Below are 22,450 nucleotides of genomic sequence, written 5' to 3'. Positions count from 1 at the left end.
AAATCATCCTACCAAGCCAGTATCACTCTGATACCAAAGCCAGAAAGGACATAACAAAAGAAAAAAAGAAAACTACAGACCAATATTCCCTGATGAATATAGATGGAAAAATCCTGAACAAAATATTAGCAAACCAAATCCAACAGCATATGAAAAAAACTATTTCACCATAATCAAGTGGATTTTATCCCAGGGATGCAGGAATGGTTCAACATATGAAAGTCAATGAATGTGATTCATCACAAAAACAGAATGAAAACTAAACTATGTGATAATTTCAATAGAGGCAGAAAAAGCATTCAATTCAGTCCAGCATCCCTTTATGATAAAAACCCTCAACAAACTAGGCATAGGTGGAACATACCTCTAAATAATAAAAGCCATATATGACAGATCCACAACTAACATCATACGGAATGGACAAAAGTTGAAAGCATTCCTCCTAAGAACTGGAACCAGACAAGGATGCCCAGTTTCACCACTCCCATTCAACATTTTACTGGTAGTTTTAGCCAGAGCAATCAGGCAAGAGAAAAAAAAAAAGTAAAGGGCATCCAAGTTGGAAAAGAGGAAGTCAAACTGTCTCTCTTTGCCAATATAAGCCCTGAAGACTACTCCAAAAGACTTACAAATCTGATAAATGAATTCAGCAAAGTCTCAGGTTACAAAATCAATGTACACAAATTAGTAGCACTGCTATACACCAACAATGTCCAAACTGAGAAACAAATCAAGGGCTCAATCCCTTTAAAAATAACTACATAAATAAAATAAAATATCTAAGAATATACTTAACCAAGGAGTTATTAATAAAAGATTTCTACCAGGAGAATACAAAATATGGCTGAAAGAAATCATAGATGACACAAACAAATGGAAATACATCCCATACTTATGGATTGAAAGAATCAATATTGTGAACATGACCATAGTGCCCAGAGAAATTTACAGATTCATTGCAACGCCTATCGAAACACAAACATCATTTTCCACAGAATTAGAAAAAACAATCCTAAAATTCATACGGAACCAAGAAAGAGCCTGAATAGCCAAGGCAATCCTAAACAAAAAGAACAAATCTGGAAGCATCACATTAACTGACTTCAAACTGTACTAAAAGGCTATCATAACCAAAACAGCATAGTACTGGTATAAAAGTAGATACATAGACCAATGGAACAGAATAGAGAACCCAGAAATAAAGCCAAATAATTACAACCAACGGATCTTTGACAAAGCATACAAAAATATAAATTGGGGGAAAGGACACCCTATTTAATAAATGATGCTATGAATATTGGATAGTCACATGTAGAAGAATGAAACTGGATCCCTATCTCTCACCATATACAAAAATTAACTCAAGGAGAATTAAAGACTTAAATATAAGATCTGAAACCATAAAAATTCTAGAAGAAAACCTAGGAAAAATTATTCTAAACATTGGCCTAGGCAAAGAATTTATGACTAAGACCCCAAAAGCAAATGCCACAAAAACAAAAATACATAAATGGGACCTAAATAAACTAAAAAGCTTCTTTACAGCAAAAGAAAGAGTCATCAGAGTAAAGAGATAACCTACAGAGTGAGAAAAAAATATTTGCAAATTATTCATCCAACAAAGGACTAATATCCAGAATATACAAGGAACTCAAACAAATCAGCAAGAAAAAGATAAACAACCCCATTAAAAAGTGGACAAATAACATAAATAGACATTTCTTAAAAGAAGATATACAAATGGCCAACAAACATGAAAAAATGCTTGACATCACTAATCATCAGGGAAATGCAAATTAAAGCCACAGTGAGATACCAACTTTCCCTAGCCAGAATAGCCATTATTAAAAAGTCAATAAACAATAGATATTCTCACGAAAGCGGTAAAAAGGGAAGGCTTAGACACTGTGGGCGGTAATGTTAGTACAGTCTCTATGGAAAACAGTATGGAGATGTCATGAAGAACTCAAAGAAGGTTTATTTCCCTCATATTGATATATTGTTTCCCTCATATTGACAACAACATTAATATATACTAGCACTATAGATCCCTAAGAAGCAGAAACTGTGTGGACTCTCTTGCCCACTATAATCCTAATGTTAATTGCCCTCCCAACCCTACGTATCCTGTACATAACAGATGAAATTAACAACCCCTCTCTCACTGTCAAAACAACTGGCCACCAATGATACTGAAGCTATGAATATACAGATTATGAAGACCTAGGCTTCGATTCTTATGTAGCCCCTACGACAGACCTGAAACCAGAAGAACTACGTCTCCTCGAAGTTGACAACTGAGCAGCTCTCCCAACAGAAATCCCTATTCACCTATTAGTGTCATTAGAAGATGTTCTACACTCATGGACTGTCCCATCACTGGGCCTCAACACAGATGGAATCCCTGGGTGCTTATATCAAACTACCCTCACTGCCACACAGCCAGGCCTTTACTATGGCCAATGCTCAGAAATTGGATCCAGCAATCCCACTACCAGGTATCTACTCAAAGGAAAAGTCACTATATCAAAAAGACACCAGTGTGTGAATGTTTATCGCAGCACAATTCACAATTGCAAAGATATGGAACCAACTGAACTGTTCATCAACTGATGAATGGATAAAGAAAATGTTATACACACACCATGGAATACTGCTCAGCCATAAAAAGGAACAAAATAATGTGCAGCAATTTGGATAGAACTGGAGGCTGTTATTTTAAGTGAAGTAACTCAGGGATCAAAAACCAAAAACCACATGTTCTCACTTATAAGTGGGAACTAAGCTATGAGTACGCAAAGGCATACAGAGTGGTATAATGCACACTTGAGAATCAGAAAGGGGGAGGGCGAGTGAGGGATTAAAAACTGCCTGTTGGCCGGGCAGAGTGGCCCACGCCTGTAATCCCAGCACTTTGGGAGGCTGAGGCGGGCAGATCATGAGGTCAGGAGTTTGAGAACAGCCTGACCAACATGGTGAAACCCCATCTCTACTAAAAATACAAAAATTAGCCGGGTGTGGTGGTGCGTTCCTGTAATCCCAGCTACTCGGGAGGCTGAGGCAGGAGAATTGCTTGAACCCGGGAGGTGGAGGTTTCAGTGAGCCAAAATCGTGCCACTGTACTTCAGCCTGGGCAACAGAGCAAGACTCCATCTCAAAAAAACAAAAACAGAAACAAAAATAAAAAATCCTGCCTGTTGGGTATGATGTACACTACTTGAGTGACAGGTGCACTAAAATCCCAGACTTCACCAATACAAGGTTCATCTCTGTAACAAAAAACCACTTGTTCCTGTAAAGCCATTGAAATAAAAATAATTAAATAAAACAAAATAAAGAAAAGCAAAAAAATAAATAAATACCAAATCATCAGAATAACAATTATAAATATCTAGGTATCTATACTGGAGAGTCACTATAAAGTGAGTATTTGCAGAGAAAGTGGTGTGAGACCTCAGCAATGTAAAACTTGAATAAATTTAGCTGTAACCTAACGGCCATGTCATTGATTTTTGTCACTCTGCATCTCTTCTATTTTAGAAATAATAGTCATCAGCTTCTGTAATCAAAAGTCTCCCTGTAAATTTAATGATTTGGGGAGTATTGGTTGTTTTTGAAATAACACCTGCAGAACAATCATTAGAGCCTTGATTAATTCTGTCTGACACACAGGAAAAAAGTGAAATACATCTTTTAAAAAGCTGCGGGGTTTTTAGTGTGAATAATCTGCTGAATATTCTAAGAAGGGATTATACTTCTAAATATTTAACAGTGCAAATATTAGAGAAGATTGTGTGTGTGCATGTGTGCTTGTGTGGGCATGTGCCTTCAAATATGTGTGTTCATGTTTATGTGTGTATTCTGTGTATGTGCATGTTTGTGTGCATGTATGTTTACAAAAAAGTAGGTAACTAGACTATTGCAGAAAAAATCAGAAAACTTGGCATTTTGCAAAAGATGATGAACCTTACATTTGTCTACGTGGGCTCCAGAGTCACCATCTGGAGTAACTTACCCAAATCCTGTTTTCAAACCATCGCGAAGGGAAGAATATATAACAGTTAAAATAGATGATAGAAAGCCCTTGATAAGCGTAGGTACAGCCATTAAATACCCTGGTTGCAGCTTAACTCTTCCAGGCTACATAGAACTCTACAACTATAAATAAGAAGCTTAAAGGCAGGACCACCCACTGCACAGGGTGCCCCAAATCACAGGCTTCCTAGAGGAGGGAGCATTTCAGCTGAGACCTGGAGACTGGCAGGAGGAAGACAGGGAAGTGGCCTCCCTCTCCATGATGCTGTCAGAGCACTAACCCTCTCTCTGCAACACTTAGGCCCATTTGGTGGTGGTGAAAAATATGGCTCATGTCCAGAAACAGATACACACGGAAACCACTTGATTCATGGCAAAAGTAATCCTGTGGTACAATGGGGTTGGTCCTTCTTCTAAATTAATGTGCTAGGTCAATAGAATTTCTATGTGGGCAAAAACTGGACCTGCACTCTTCCCTCAGATGATATGCAAAACTCCATTCCAGTCTACTGTAGATCTAACTGTGAAAGGGAAAAATCACAAAACTCATAGAGGAAAATATAAGAGAATGTCTTCCTGACATTGAGATCATCGATGATTTTCTAAATGGAACACCAAGAGCACCAATGGTAAACAAACACGGACTGATACAACGCAAAAGGCGGACAATGCAACAGGAAGGCTTGACTCAGTGCCTTCTGGATTTTCAAATGGCCAGTAAACACGGGAGGGAGTTTCCCTTCATTTTACCTCCAGAAAATGCAAACTGTAACCACGCAATACCACCATACACCCATCTGATGAGCTGAAGTGAAAAAGACTGACAATTCCAAGTATTGCCGAGGGTGTGGATCTATGGAAACTCATACACTGTGGGCTGAAAGGAAATTGGAACAGCCCTGTGGAAAACTAGCGGTATTTTCGAAAGGGACCTACACATACCCAGTAACCAAGTGAGTCCACACCTGGGTATATTCCCAGTGGAAATGCAGGGCTGCATTTACCAAAACCTATAGAAAAAGTGCGTCTCAGCAGCACTGTGTGAAAGAGCCCCAGACTGAAAACAACCCCAAGGTCCATCACACACCAGTACTAGAGAGTACTGCAAATGCTCAATTTCCCTGTGCAATAACCTGCTGGACTCTCACAGCGATGTTGAGCAAAAGAAGGCAGACACAAAACCATGTTTGCTTTACTAGGTGTGGATTTTATTTATGCACATTTACAAACAGGCAGAGCTGATCTATGGTTTAGAAGTAAAACAAAAGAGGGTGCTATGGGCTGAGTAGTGTACCCTCCAAATTCATGCGTCAAAGTCCTCGCTCCCAAGGTGGATGGTGTTTGGAGATGGGGCTGTTGGGAGGTAAATAGGTTTAGATAAGGCCATGAAGGTGAGGTCCTTGTGATGGGATTAGCATCCTTATAAGAAAAGATCAGAGAGTGCCCATTCTCTCTCTCTTTTTTTCCTGCCATGTGTGGATGCAGAGAGGAGATGGCCATCTTCAAGACAGGAAGAAGGCCTTCACCAGAATTCACTCCCCTGGCACCTTGATAGTGACCTTCCAGCCTCCAGAACTGTGAGAAATAAACTTCTGTGGTTTAACTTGCTCAGCCTGTGATATTTTATTGAGGACCCCGAACAGACTCATACAGAGGGTTCCTCTGAGCAGGAGGTAAAGCCTGGGACTCAAGGGGTCATTCTGGGGTAAGTTTTTTCTTGATTTGAGGTGGTTCCATGGCTGTGTTCAGAGTGAAAATTCGCTGAGCTGTGCACTTAAGCTCCATGTGCCTTTGTGCATGTATGCTGTGTTTCACTCCATAGTTCACATGCGCACGCACGCATGAGCACACATACACATGTCACCACTTACTGGCTACAAGACATTAGGCAAGTTAATAAAACTCTTTTTCAGTTTCTTCTCCAGTAAAGGGAAATGATAGGTGTCCCTCCCTCAGAGGTTGCTAATGAGGATAATAGAATTCATGCGTGTAGAGCTCTGAAACAAAGCCTGGCACAGAGTAAACACACAGCCACTGTGATGTTACGACTGCAGCCTCTCTACTGCAGATATGTATAGAGTATACATATGTATACATATTACATATATGCACACATGTACATGGTGTATTCTACCCACACCCATCTCTCTCATGCACCTATTTTTGGTCTATTTTGTTCACTGCAATAATACCAAACTAGAAGAAAAAAGCCAATCAGTATCATGTCTCAGAGACATTGTTTAACAGAAGATTCCCACGATCAGTATCATGTCTCAGAGACATCCTTTAACAGAAGATTCCCACGATCAGTATCATGTATCAGAGACATCCTTTAACAGAAGATTCCCACGATCAGTATCATGTCTCAGAGACATCGTTTAACAGAAGATTCCCACGATCGGTATCATGTCTCAGAGACATCGTTTAACAGAAGAGTCCCATGATCAGTATCATGTCTCAGAGACATCCTTTAACAGAAGAGTCCCACGATCGGTATCATGTCTCAGAGACATCGTTTAACAGAAGATTCCCACGATCGGTATCATGTCTCAGAGACATCGTTTAACAGAAGATTCCCACGATCGGTATCATGTCTCAGAGACATCGTTTAACAGAAGATTCCCACGATCAGTATCATGTCTCAGAGACATCGTTTAACAGAAGAGTCCCACGATCGGTATCATGTCTCAGAGACATCGTTTAACAGAAGATTCCCACGATCGGTATCATGTCTCAGAGACATCGTTTAACAGAAGATTCCCACGATCGGTATCATGTCTCAGAGACATCGTTTAACAGAAGAGTCCCACGATCGGTATCATGTCTCAGAGACATCGTTTAACAGAAGAGTCCCACGATCGGTATCATGTCTCAGAGACATCGTTTAACAGAAGAGTCCCACGATCGGTATCATGTCTCAGAGACATCGTTTAACAGAAGAGTCCCACGATCGGTATCATGTCTCAGAGACATCGTTTAACAGAAGATTCCCACGATCGGTATCATGTCTCAGAGACATCGTTTAACAGAAGAGTCCCACGATCGGTATCATGTCTCAGAGACATCGTTTAACAGAAGAGTCCCACGATCGGTATCATGTCTCAGAGACATCGTTTAACAGAAGATTCCCACGATCGGTATCATGTCTCAGAGACATCGTTTAACAGAAGAGTCCCACGATCGGTATCATGTCTCAGAGACATCGTTTAACAGAAGAGTCCCACGATCGGTATCATGTCTCAGAGACATCGTTTAACAGAAGAGTCCCACGATCGGTATCATGTCTCAGAGACATCGTTTAACAGAAGAGTCCCACGATCGGTATCATGTCTCAGAGACATCGTTTAACAGAAGAGTCCCACGATCGGTATCATGTCTCAGAGACATCGTTTAACAGAAGAGTCCCACGATCGGTATCATGTCTCAGAGACATCGTTTAACAGAAGAGTCCCACGATCGGTATCATGTCTCAGAGACATCGTTTAACAGAAGAGTCCCACGATCGGTATCATGTCTCAGAGACATCGTTTAACAGCAGATTCCCACGATCGGTATCATGTCTCAGAGACATCCTTTAACAGAAGATTCCCACGATCGGTATCATGTCTCAGAGATATCCTTTAACAGAAGAGTCCCACGCCATTTCACAGGAGCCAGAAATTTCATCAACAAAGTGAATGAGGAAGTTGTGCCATGGGGGCCAGTGGGCTGCTGAACTCAGCTTCTACCCCAAGTCCAAGGAACCTGAGACACACAAGTAAGGTCAAGAGGGAATAAGATTCCGGCCATCTGAGAGGGTTGCGGAGCTACACAGAGATTCATCTTAATTTAATCAAATTCAGTTTCAATCAGAACACCATTTCTTTATCCATTTCGGACACTTTTTAAAAAGAAGCATATCTTTTAAATCACCAAATGAAGGCTTCATGGAACAAGTATATGATCCACTCCGACCTCAGGCACAATGAACAGATTTTGGCAATAATTGGGGAAATTCACCACAGTAATAACATCCAACCATATTAGATGTCACGGGTTTAATATACCTGGAATGCTTGTGCATATCTCACTGGAACAAAATGTGTGATGTTCATTCTCTCAGAGCTAAGATGATTATCCCCTTGTCAGGACAGGTTCCCTGCAGCCCAGGCCTCTTATACTTGAACAATGCATGCTTTGTTCTTCTGTCAAATGAGTTGATTTCCTGCAGAATCGAATGTGGTGAATTAGGCTATCTCACTGAGATTTCAAAACACGCAGTGCAGTGTCTCTGCTCTCTCTGTCCCCATCTGATCCACGTTGTTGCTAACTCATGGCTTCCATGCTCTGAAGAACACCTTTTCCTGGGGGCAAGGGTCCCATTTGGGAGCCTCCAGCTGGGTCCTCCAGCTATATCAACCTCAAAAAGCCTCCCATTGTGTGCTCCAGCCTCCAGAGGACCTTGGGTGACTCAGCGTCATTGACTGATGTCCTATCTCATCCAGACTGGGATTGCATTGATGTTTGGCTCCAGGTTGTCTCTCACAAGCTATGGAGATTTTCTCCACAAGATGCTTATGGAGCAATTGGTGTGAAGCACAGCTCTCAGCGTGCAGTCCATGCATGGGGGAGCCCTCCAGCTTAAAAATACTGGAGCCTCCAGAGTATGAAAACAACAGGGTTTATGAAATCTGGTTGAGCATTAACTGTCTGTGGTGAGTTTGGTTTCCCCAGGAAATGGGCTTTCTGACTTGAGAGTTCTGAAAGTGCATTCCCAAAGACAGGGTGGGGAGCTGGCTATTTATCCTTTCTTCTTTTACACAAGCCCTTCTGCACTGACCCAAGGAACTGACACTAATCTACTCCTCAGAGCAATTCACTGACACATCTAATTCTGTGCAGAAAGAAACAGAGTAGAATGGGCCTTCCCTTCTCAAGGAGCAACAGCACTCAGAGGCTGTGAGAACGTGGTGCATAGCTTCCTACTCCATCATTGGCACACACAGTGGGCAGCTAGCTGTTGCTGCCACTTTCTTCCTGTCCCCCTGCTTCTGGAATCTGCACCTGAGCTCATATGGACTTTAGGCTCCTTAAACTTCCAGTCTAAACATCTGATAAAATGAATGTTTTCATGACCACTTCCAAACAGCAGGATGCTGACCTTTTCATGCTACACATATGCACGGGGCACTTGCCATAGGCACTGTCTGGGCACTGGGGAGCACTGAGGACATGGTGGTGACAAGGGAGTCCTTGTTTTCAGCGGATCTGGGGCTTTTGAAGAAAACAGATCGCTGTCATCGTCATCATCATCATCATCATCACCATGGTAGTAGAAATAATGGTGGTTGGCAATTACTGAGTGCCGTCTGAGCATCAACTTATTGAAATAAATAAACCATAAGTGTTGCTATGATAGAAGGCACACAGGCTTCTAGAAGAGCTAAAGGAGGAGCACTTAACTCTGAAGAGTGGACAAGCAGAGGAGGCTTCCCAGAGGAGGCGGTGCCTGTACTAACCCTTGAGAGGCAGGCAGCAGTGGCACTGCTGGAGGGAATGGCTTGGTTCTTAAGTCCAGAGAAGAGGACCTGGGCCCTCATGGGTGTGAGCAGGCCCAGGATTGCATGGGGAGTGTGGAGACTGGTGAGAGGGGAAGCCGAGCACTGAGAAAGCAGGCAGAGGCCCGGTCAGGGAGGCCTCAGTTTGCCATGTGAAACAGCCGAGGGACAACGGACTGGCCTTGGGGAGATTTGATGGCAGGAAGGACACTTTGAGGCATGTCACTCTGGCTGCTGTGGGGATGAGTGATGGGAGGGCTCAGGGCTGGGTCAGGGAGCCATGTTGCCACAACTGACATTGTGTAATAATATTTAACTTTAAATTACCTAGCTCTTTTTTTTGAGAGGGAGTCTTGCTCTGTCTCCTAGGCTGGAGTGCAGTGGTGTGATCTCAGCTCACTGCAACCTCCGCTTCCCTGGTTCAAGCAATTCTCTGCCCTACCTCAGCCTCCCAAGTAGCTGGGATTACAGGCACCTGCCACCATGCCCAGCTATTTTTAGTAGAAATGGGGTTTCACCATCTTGGCCAGGTCGGTCTTGAACTCCTGACCTCACGATCCACCCACCTCGGCCTCTCAAAGTGCTGGGATTACAGGTGTGAGCCACTGTGCTCAGCCAGCTCTCTTTATTTTTTCAAAATAATCATCATTTATTTATAAACAAGTGTGTTTTTTTCTCATTTTTTTTTTACCTAGAAAATGCTGCAATATTCATTTAAAATCCATGCATCTGGGACCTCTAGTTGCTGACCAGCCAGGACCCTGCTGTAGTGCTGCATGGAGAGGCCACGAGGGCCTGACTCAGTGTAACAGCTGAGGGTGAAAACACAGCACAGCACAGCACAGATTAAGGAATGGAGTCGACTAGACTTGGTGTTGATACCTGGGTCCTTGAAGATGCAAATAATTAAACTGTGGTGCATTTATATCACAGAACACTATGCAGCCATAGAAAGGAACAACCTATGAGTACACACAAGAATTTGGATGGATCTCAAGAGCATTATGTGAGTAGGGGAAAAAAGCCAGTCTCAACAGGTCACTTACTAGATGATTCAGTTTCTGTAACATTCTCAAAATGACCACATTGATATACACAGTAAACGTGAGGCAGAAGCCAGAAAGGGCTAGATGGCTTGGGTAACTGACGCTGGCAGAGAAGCTCATGAAAAGATAGCAGCAGGCTGGAGGATGCACCAGTTACCTCCTGCTGCATAACAAACTACCCAAACATTGAGTGGCCCCAAAACAACAGACATTTATTATCTCAGCTTCTGTGGTCTAGGCATCTGAACACCATTTAGCTGGGGGTCTTGACTCAGGGTCTTTCATGACAATGCAGCTAAGTTGTCAGCCGGGGCTGTCTGTGGTCATTTCAGAGTCTATTGGTGGGTCTCAGGAAATTCACCTCCAAGATCGCTCACATCAGTTTCTCACCAACTGGGCACCTCCATAAATTGCCTGAATGTCCTCAAGACATAGCAGCTGGTTGTGAGAGACAGACAGGCAGAGATGAAAACAAAGAGGCAGAGAGGGCTGGAGAGAGCAACAGACAGTGAATAAGAAGAAAGCCCAGGTCATTCTGTAACCTCATCTTAGAAGTGGCGTCTCATTGCTTTTGCCATATTTTTTTGGCTAGAGGCAAGTCACTGGGTTCTGTCCACACTTAAGGCTTGGCAATTAAACACAGGTGTGAATACCAGGAGGTAGGGGTCATCAGGGACCCTCTCAGTGCTGCCCTCCACACGAGGGAGGATGTCAAGTCCAGGTGTAGACACATCATAGGAAAATCTTCAGTGTGCAGAATTGAGTACCATTGGAGATTTTAAGAAGTGACCTCTGCCTGGGAGAAACAACAGTAATTTTTGAAGTAGCTTTCTCTTCCCTCCCTTCTCCTCTGCCACTTAGCCCTTCTCCTTCCCCCTTCTCCATTCCAAACCCGTATGTACGGAACTCTTCCTAGAGTCAGCAGGAAGTACCAGCTGCTAACTGATTAATCGGAATCAGCGACTCCTGGAAAAAACAGGGTCAGCATTCCCACCTGCAGCGCCGGATACAGTGGCTGTGGCTGTGGCATGTGTGCCTGTGCACACCCACCCCTACCTGCACCTTGCCTTCCAAAGGCTCCCATATGATCACAATCTGAAAGAAAGGTTGAACTGGAAAATGGCAGACTGTCCCAGGGAAGAAGTTAAGGTAAAACACAGAGATTAGACTGGGGGCAGGAGGGGAATAAATAAAAACACCTAAACACTTGAAATGCCAGGCCAGCCACCCAAGAACCACTGTGGACCAGTCTTCCCCTAGTGGAAAGGGTGCTTCAGAACTAGAAGGGAACAATGTTCTAGGCACATCAGGGGCTTTGGCTCATTTTTAAGCATATGGCAGCAGGGAGTCTAAAACACTGTTAGGTCAGGTGTGATGGCCCATGACTGTCATCCCAGCACTTTGGGAAGATTACACTGAGATGGACCGCCCACAGATGTGGGCTTCTGTGCAGGACAGGAGAGCCACACCTGGTGTGGGGTTATGGGGAGAGTTTTTTGTTTTTGTTTTGTTTTTTTTTTTGAGATGGAGTCTCCCTTTGTTGCCCAGGCTGGAGTGCAATGGTGCAACCTCAGCTCACTGCAACCCCCGCTTCCCAGGTTCAACTTATTCCCTGCCTCAGCTTCTCCAGTAGCTGGGATTACAGGTGCCCACCACCATGCCTAGCTAATTTTTGTATTTTTAGTAAAGACAGGGTTTCGCTATGTTGGCCCAGCTGGTCTTGAACTCCTGACCTCAGAGGATCCACCCACCTCAACCTCCCAAAGTGCTGGGATTACAGGCATGAGCCACCATCGCTAGCCAGGGAGAGCTACTTTAAACCACCTTAAAACAAAGTCTGAGCTTCAATGCATCCTGAGAGTGGCTCTCTGGAACCAACGGTGTGTAAATGGGGCATCTCCCCACTCTTCATGGCCTCTGGCCAGACTCCAGCAAAGAAACAGTGACCAATCTTCCTCGGTTCTAAGAGGTCAATCAAGTTTTTTCAAATGGGTAAAAACAACAAAAAAATCGATGTGGCTGCAAAATCTTCCCCCAGTTTCTGTGTCGATGGGTACACAGGAGGAACCACATGGTGATAATGTATCTTTGTTCCAAGCTACATCATTAGCAGAAATATTTCTTAAATTTTATCTTTTAACCTAAATAGTTATTTCATGACCATCAAAGATTCTCAAGCTCTTCGTAGAGATGGATTTTGTCTCAGAACGAAATTTCATGCTTCATTGTCTTGAGATGATTGTGACTTTTAGATGATCATTATTTGCTTTTTTTTTGTAATGGGGGCATTGGGGAGACAGCGACATTGTAAAAACACTGGGTTATTTCTATTATGGATGGATTCAGGGTGAGTGTTTCTGAAGATATAGCTATCCCATTTCTGAAGTTGGTAATGAGAGTATTGTTAAACAAAGGTAGAAATTAAAAATTCAGAATATATTTTACATAATTAGTATTTTAAAGTTGTGTGATTTAAGCACCATTTTAAAGAATGATTTGCCATACTGTAATTCCCACTGTAAATCTCGCCTGTAATATATACATTAAAGCACTCTGAGATTGCTCTAGAATGTGAATTACTAAGTGCTGATGAATAATTTTGAATAATGTGACTGCTTTCACCATTGAGTGGAAAATTAAGATTGTGGTATTGCTCTATTTAGAAATGATTGGTTTGTGAGAGTGAAACTCACAGCTGTTGGGCCCCCTCCAAATCACGGTGCTTCCAAGGCAGAGCGGAAACTGGGACTCAAAAGGTTTTTCACGCTCAAATGCTTCTTTGTTGTAGAAATGTTTTTCTTCCAGTTGCTTAGAATGACCAGTTCCCTGGAAATTATTGAGAAAGGAATGAAACTTTACCTTCCAATGTGTTGGGGGGTGGAATGGGTGCTGGCCTGGTCGCATAAACTCTGTGATGACTGTAATGACCTAGTCTGGCTTATGAGAGTGGGCCGTTAACACCAATGCTGGCAGACTGTTGACTCATAGTCCAAGGGAGAGCTCGACTCTGTTGTGTTTTTTTCCAGAACTTAGGAGTTTCCCAGGATCCGAGACTTGGTGCTAAAACCAGGAGAGTTTAGAGCAAACCAGGACTGTTGGTCACCCTACATGGTGATGATAAAGATCATAATGACAGTATGATGAAGGTTTTGATAGCATTACTACAAACAGCAATAGCTCACATGTGCATGACACTTGCTATGGGCCAGTCCTGTTCTAAGCGTTTACAAACACTGCCTCTTCAACCCTAAGGACATTCCGTAGGTATTATTGTCCTCATTTTCCAATGACTTGTGTGGTTCAGGTAAGTTAAGTCACATACTTGATAAATAAAGGGGTTTTGATCCAGTCCCTGACTGTCTGGGTTCCACGTCAAGGCGCCTGACTACTCTGCTCATATGAAAACCAGCAAGAACAACAATCATTTCTTGAGTGTTTAATATGAATCAGAGGTTATGCTGGATATTTGGCATATTTATCATTTTTAACATTCATAAATGTTGTTCAAGGTGAGTACTTACAGCCCTGTATTACAAATGAGGAAGCTGAGGCTTTGAGGGAAGAAATATTCTACCCACAGTGACAGAAGTTCTAACCAGCAAGGCCAGGATTCGAATCTCAGCTCCTTGTCTTGAGCTCAGAGCTCTTAACTCCACCACTCTGCTTTGCTGTATGTAGCTCTCCAGAGCAAGGACTTCTGTATTTGGACTTTTCCTACTTGTGGGGAATTGATATCAAGGAGTGATTTAGGGTAATTTTACCCTAACAGACTCAGATTGATGCAGCTCTTCCGCCTGCTCTTAACTGCTGAGCACCTGGGTGGCTGGAGCTAGTGAGGCATAAGGACCTGCTCTCTCAGGCCGTGTGCAAACTCCCAGCTTGTCTTCACCATGTGGCAAATTCGTTTCCCCCTTGCTGCCAATTGCCTAGTATTTACAGAATATATGCATACTTGAAGACTGAATAATTAGATTCTTCTCTCTGCTTAGATTGGTCTAACAAATTTGATTTCTTCTCACCTGCTGCATTGTACTCTGTTAAGATGATTTTTGAAACTATGTAAGAATCAGCTGAGAGTAATTTGGAGCAGAGTCAGAGTTCAATATAACAGAAATGTTGGATTTCTGGAGACTGGATTATCGAAATAATCTCTTTCTTCAATGGTTCTCACATTCTGGTCCACAGACTTCTCCCCCTAGTAGAGTCCTCAAGGTAATCTGAAAAGGCAAAGCTCGTTTCATTGCCTTTTTTTTTTTCTGTACTGTGATTTGCACTGATGGAGGAACAGCCATGGTGGGTAAAACTTCCGGAGCCGTGAGTGTGGATCAAGCCACCAGCAACTAACTGCAAGCAGTCACTGCATTCCCCACTACCACTTGCCCACAGCTGAACAGCAACACAAAAGCACAACAGCCAATCTCACTTAAAAATGTTATCGATACAGTGGTAAAAATTATTAATTATTGAATATATTAATTGCATTCAATCCCAAAATTTGATTACACATCTTTTTAATATTCTGTGTAATTAAATGAAAACATCTCATAAAGCACTTTCACTACACAATAAACAAAGGTGTCTGTGTCAAGAAAATGTATTTTTGCAGTTGTTAGAATTGCTAACTAATCTAGCACTTTATTCATGGAACATTGTCCTTATTTGAAAAAGAAATGACAGACAAACTATGGCTTTTTTAGACTTAGGTATTTGGAACTGGTATTAGAATTTGAAAAGCTTGTATTTTCCACCATGAACTTTACAGATTCCCAGTACTTCACAATGTTTCTGATGAAATCAGTGGTGTTATTAATGAATATGGTTATTTTATACAGTAGAATGGAATATATCAATATTTGAAAGATCTGCCAAAGACTTAATAGTAGTAGTTCACACAGTGTGGAACAGAGGCCACTGAGTTTAAATATCCCAGATGCCCCTGTGAGTTCATTGCAGCACCCCAGGGAGCCTCAGAGCACCCTCAGGGAATTGCAGAACCATAGAAAGAAAGAAAGACATGGAATAGTATGAACAGCACTAGCAACTACCTTGACCTAACTGATATGTAGAGCACCATGCCTGACAATTGCAGAATGCATTTAATCTTATGCATTCTTTCCAAGTGCACATGATCCATTTAACAAGATAGACTGTACACCGAGCCAGAAAATATCAATTAATTTAAAGGTATTGAAATTATACAGAGTATATTACCTGACTATAGTGTAATTAAATTAAAAATCAATCACAGTAAGATATCTAGGAAAAAACAATTATTTGGATATTAAACAGCACACTCCTAATTAATCTATGGGTAAAAGAAGAAATTAGAAAGCATTTCAAAGTAAATAGGAACAAAAATGCAACCTATCAACTAAGGGAGTACTTGAGGGAAATTTGTATCCTTAATGTCTATATTAGACAAGAAGAAAGGTCCAAATCAATGACTGAAAGTTCCACCTGTAAAAACTATCAAATAAAGAGCTGAGTAAGCAGAATAATTAAAATAATGAGGAAAGCGATAGAAATTAATGAAACAGAAAATGGATAAGTGACAGGGAAATTTAACATAGCCAAATTAACATAGCTCTATCTAAACTGATCAAGGAAAAAATAATAATAATCAGGAAAGGAAAGGAAGATTAGAGAAAGAGAGAGAATTTCTAATATCAGGAATGAAAGACAGGTCTCAACTTATATTCTACATAGTTTAAGTGGAAGACAAATAAATACTTAGGGTAAATTTGTATGAATAAAATTTGAAAATTTAGATTAGATGGACAAATTTCTTGAAAAATACTATTTTTACTAAAACTGACCCAAGAAGGTGCAGAAAGTCTAAATAGACTTTCATGCAAGAAATTTATATGCAGATTTGAAAAAACAGAAAAATGCTGGAGGACTTACACTTGACCTCAAGACTTGTGATAATGCTCCGATAATCAAAACCGTGTGATACTGGGATAGGAGTGACACGTAGACCAATGGACAGAATAGAGAGCCCAGAACTCTTGAAACTCAATAGTGAAAAGATAATCAACAGAATTTACTAGCTGGCCAACACATTTGAAAAGACTTTGCAAACAAAGATACATGGCTGGTCAATAAGCACAATGCCATTAGATATATTGAAAAGGCAAATTAAAACTCCAATAAGAAATAACCAGACCCCATCAAAATGACTAAAATTAAGAAGATTGACAACATTAAATGTTGGTAAGTATGTGGAGGAACTGGAACTCTCACACACAGTTCATATAAGTTTCTGATAAAGCTAAACACAGACCTACACCATGACCTAACAATTCTACTCCTAGTTATTTTCCCAAGAAAAATAAAAGCATGTGCCAACAAAAGACTTACACAGTACATAATTGTTCCTAGCAGCTTTCTTTGCAATAGCCAAAAAAATGGGGAAAAATTCCTGATAGCAGTCAACAGGAGAGTGGATAAACACCCTGTGGTATGTCTATACAATAATGTACTCAGCAATTGAAATGAACCAGTCTATGGTGCACACATGAGTGAATCTCAAAATCATGATGCTACGTCAAGGAAGCTTACACAGAAGAGCACAGTGTATGGGTTCATCGATATGCATTCTAGAACAGGGAAAAATAATGTATGGTAAGAAATAATCAGAAAGGGGTTGCCTCTTGGGATTGGGTAGAGAGTGGGTAATAGGGAAGAGGCTGGGAAAATTTTCTGTGGGGATGGAAATGGTCGGTATTGTCACAGGGCTTTCCATTACATACGTGCAGGCATTTGTCAGAATTCATAAAATGATATGCCTACAATTTGCGCATTTAATCTTATGCAAACATTACCATAAAGGAAAAAAACTCTAAATAAATATTGAACGTGAGTTTATGATCTACACGTTGAAGTGTTTAGGAAAAGGGGCACGACTGCCTGTAACTTACTTTTAAATGTATATAAAAAACATGATGGATTGATGCTTGGAGACAGTGGGGGATGGGTGGATGAACATGCCATAAAACAAGACTCTTTAGGCCAGGCACGGTGGCTCACACCTGTAATCCCAGCACTTTGGGAGGCCAAGGCAGGTGGATCACCTGAGGTCAGGAGTTCAAGACCAGCCTGGCCAACGTGGTGAAACTCCATCCCTATTAAAAATACAAAAGTTAGCTGGGCATGGTGGCGGGCGTCTGTAATCCCAGCTACTCAGGAGGCTAAGCCAGGAGAAATGCTTAAACTCAGTAGGCAGAGGTGGCAGTGAGCAGAGATCTTACCACTGCACTCCAGCCTGGGTGGCAGAGTGAGACTCTATCTCAAAAAAAAAAAACAAAAAAACAAGACTCTTTAAAATGGTCATAGAAGAATCTGGGTGGTATATAAAGGTATTCCTTATAAATTCTGTCAATTTTCTGTATGTTTGCATTTGTTTCTAATACATATCGAAGGGAAATGTAGTACTGAGTGGATACCAAGTTCACGGCACAGTGCTGGACCCTGTTCTGTCAGACACCATTGGCCATGCTGAGGGTCACCCTGAGCCTTCTGCTCACCAGAGACGCACTGCGGTCTGGGGCATGGGGAGGACAGTGCTCTTGAGTGCTGCCCAGGCTCTGAGAGCATCACACCAATTCAGAAACTCACTTCCACAGCCCCTGGATGGCATCTGCTGTCAGAGGGGTGAAAAAGTCGTGTCAAGCGGGTGAGCTTCAGGAACAGCCAGGACATGAGAGCACCAGTCTCAAAACCCGATCACCTGGGTTGGGGAACTCGTTCCACGTCTGATTGTTTGAGCTTGGGCAAGTTATTTAACTTCTCTGTGCCACAGCGTCCTCACTTGTAAAAAGTGCATAAGACCGTACCTTCTTCATCAGGGTGTCATGAAGAACACACCAGACCAATGCATTTAAATCACAGCGAGAGCAAGAAGTGTCTGAATGCACAGCACAATTGTTATTTGCATTATTATCATCTCTCTGTAACCCTCATTTTAGCCTCCTTTAATCTCCAATACCAGGGCGCACAATTATGCCTCCAACTTCTTCAGCTAGGTCCCCAAATCCCCACAAAAATCAACTCCTGGGATTGGAAGCCTCAGCACTAACTGGCCACCTGTCCCTCCAACATTCTCAAAATCCCAGCATTTATGTAGATGGTGTTTACACCCCAGCTTCATGATTCTCTTACCTTGTTTCCAATAATTTGGACCTTCTCCCTATCTCAGCTCCCACTCACACACCTGGTCTTCCTCTAGGTCCTGTCACTGCCAAGAAAAACACACCACCTTTATCATCTGAGTACAACAGTACCATTCTCCAGAAAATCACGCAGGCAGGTTCCCTGGTCTCACTGCAGGTTCAGTTCCAGTGCCCTCGCAGGAGCCCTGGGCATGGCCCCCTGGACACCCTACAGCATTTCTCCAGACCACTGCCACCCACTCCCCGAGATAACTCACTCACACTTTCCTCCCTCCAATCCCCAACTCTCCATGCCCTGTCTTTGCTCTCAGCTCATGGCCTTACTTCCTAGTTCACAGAGAAAAAGCAGAAGCAATCAGGAGAGAATTACACATTCTCACCAGCCCTTCTCTCACCTTGACCTGGCTCCTCATCTCTCTCATAGCCCTCTTATCACTATAAATGGGCACCCCACACTCTTTCCCAAGCCTGGAGTGTCTGCACATACAGGAAGGACCCCAGCCCCTGTCACCAATGCAAGAGTGTCATTCGGCAATTGTCACCTTTGTTTCTGGATCATCAGCTTTCTCCCCTCTGTAGAATCATCCCCCTCCATGGACAGTATGCTGAGATTCCTCTAGTCTTAATGAGCTTGAGCTCATATCCTCCTCAAGCTGCCAATTTCCCTTCTCCCTGTCTGGAAACACATCCCGGAAGGGTGGCTGTACTTGATGTCTTCATTTCCGTTCCTCCTGTTCTCTCTTATACCTTCTCTCAGTTGGATGCTCCTACCCTCAGCCCAGTATCAGCTGCTCTAGAAAGATCACAATGAATCTCCACGTCAATAAATCTCACAGTCAGCCTGAACCTCACCCCGTGGATCGATCTTACGCTTTCTTTACTGGGCTCCCCTGATACCGCGCTCACCTGGGCTTCCTCCGACCTTCTCAGCCACTGCGTTTTATTCTTTTCTCTCTCTCTACTCCATCCCTCCTGGGGGATCTCATCCCATGCCCTGCTCAAAAATACCATCCATGTGTCTCATCTCCTTCTGGAACTCTATCCTCTGCTCACTAATGGACACCCACTTTTATTAATTCATTCAGTGACACAATACAGATTGATTTAGTACCTTCCAGGTGCCAGAAACTCCTCGGGATCATAGAGATGCATCAGAAAATAAACACAATTTCCCACAAACAAGCAAACAGAACAAAATTCTAGTAGGAACTTTCACTCTGGTAGAAAAGACAATTAACATAAATGACTAAATTATATAATACATCAGAAGATAAGTAGTAGTATTGAAAATTTGTAAATGCCATATATGTGTATCTACCTCTATATTCTGTATTCCTTCTATGTTCTCTAATCTACTTTGTACAAATCATATATGTGTCGTTCACTTTTAAGGTATTATTATTTTTCATTTTATTTTATTTTTCCATAAGTTATTGGGGTATGGGTGGTATTTGGTTACATGAGTAAGTTCTTTAGTGGTGATTTGTGAGATCCTGGTGCACCCATCACCCGAGCAGTATACACCGCACCATATATGTTGTCTTTTATCCCTCACCCCCCTCCCACTCTTCCCGCTAAGTCCCCCAAATCCATTGTATCATTCCTATATTAAATAGCGGTCAAACATAAAAATCCACATGCAATAATCTTATACTCTGCAGGAATAATCAAAGTGATAGTAAAAGTTTGGAATTTTTTGCCAATAAATAATAATGACAATCTTAGAAGTTGCCCTGTGTTGCAGTTGAGCCCCTGTGGAGCTGTGCCCTCTCTTGTCGCTCCTTCCCATGTGGGGGATCCTGTGCAGCTGTTTCCATCCCCTGGATGTAATATCTCAGGATGAGAGCAGGGCAGCTGCTCCGTTTTGGCCTCTTGCCAGGCTGGAACAAGGCCTGTCAGGGTCTCTTTATGTCCAGAGTATATAAAGCCCCATGCTGGACTGGAACTTGGCATCCTGGCTACGTTTGGCTCATTGAATGAGACCTCAGGCCAGAAGCCATTGACTCCACTAATTTGTTTCAAAGAAGGCTAGGGGGACATTAGAGTGGTCATTTCAGATCACAGGTGTCATGAATACAAATGGGAAAACAAATTCCAAATGTCTTCAGGTTGTGAAGCCTCTCATGCTTGGCTAATGAGGAAGCAGAACTGAATTTAAAACCAAAATCAGACCTGCTAATTAATTACGTACTGCCAATGATTTGAAAAAGCAAACATACTAATATGACTTTGATTTTTCTACAGGATTTTGTCTGTGTACCCAGATGGTAATGTACAGAGACAATGGAGAATGTTCATGGAGGAGAGGAGAGGTTTTCAGTTCAGAAAACATCAGATAACATACTGTTTTAATATTTAATGTTTTCTACCTCTCAGAGACAGCTGCTTAACTTTTACAGACATTTTCCAATACTTAATTAGAACAACTTTTCTAAATGTCTGCTGGCCCATCCAGAAGGGTGAATAATAAAAATAATTTTTAATGATGCTGAAATTAAAAACAAAAACAAACTTTTGTCTTCACAATTCCTGGCTGCTTGGAAGGGCCTTTACATGGGGCCATGTTAATTGGGTCACAATAGCAGCATGAAAACTCATTGCCTTAAAGCATTCATAAAAGAACAAATGATTTTGAACCCATTATAACTCAACAGAGACCACAAGGCTACAGGAATGAGCTCTTAGGAGCAGTATTTGCACACGGCATAGCCAATCTTTCCTACAACCCCACAAAGTGGATTTCTCAGGCCCGTTTCACAGATGACAAAAGAGACTCAGAGAAGTTAAGCAAGTCCTTTGGACAAGCCAACTAGCACATATCCAGCTGGGATACAAACGCAGGACCTCAGATCAGCCTGTACTCCTCGCAGAAGTCCACCCACACTGACTTTTAGCATGGTCTCCAAACATCTTGCTTTTCTTTATGGAACATTCTAGAGTTGATGTATATTCCTTTGGCCCTGTAAAGTCAGTAAGTGCCAGCCCACAGAATGACAGCTTCCTTAAGACGCCTAAAGCCCTAGCTTTACTCTCTTGTTCAAAAACTAAAGAAAATTAGTGTTGTTCCAAAGCCCAGTGTGTAATTGGTAAATCAGTTCAGTTAAACCAACATCAACCTCACTCCCGACTCTTGTCTTCCTCCTCCCTCTCAAATTAAAGGCATCACCACGAGTCCCGTGGCTCAAACTAAAAAGTGGGCAGTCCCTCCATGTATTCCTCAGCTCTCCCCCAGTTGTCTCTCCAAGCCACTAGGGTCTCTTCCCTTCCACAACCCCTACCATAGTTCAAACCAGGCTGCTTCACACCTTCAACAAACAGGGCCTTACGTGGGTGTCCTTAGTCCCTCCCTGGTCCTGCCACTCTCTGGACAGTATTGCCATGTTCATTTTAAACATATCAGATTGGCAGGCAGATCAATTTCCCCTGCAAACATGTCCACGTCCTGCTCCCTGGAACCTGTGAGTATATTAGGTCCCATGGCAAAGAGGTATTGAGGTTGAGATAGAATTCAGATTGCTGATCAGCTGGCTTTAAAATAGGGAGAGTATCCTAGATTATCCAACGGGCTCCAATGTACCCACAAGGATCCCTAATAGTGGAAGATGGAACCAGAAAGAAGGGAGGGAGAGAAGGACTTGGCCCACCATTGCTGGCCTTGAAG

At 42.3% G+C, this 22,450-nt stretch overlaps 1 pseudogene; it reads left to right on the top strand.

The window, feature by feature from the left end:
• MTCO2P1 (MT-CO2 pseudogene 1) lies at positions 1,996–2,472 on the top strand (annotated as a pseudogene).

Source organism: Homo sapiens, chromosome 20 (assembly GCF_000001405.40).
Source record: "Homo sapiens chromosome 20, GRCh38.p14 Primary Assembly".
In the NCBI taxonomy this organism is placed as follows: Eukaryota; Metazoa; Chordata; class Mammalia; order Primates; family Hominidae; genus Homo; species Homo sapiens.
This window is presented reverse-complemented; position numbering and strand designations above follow the sequence as displayed.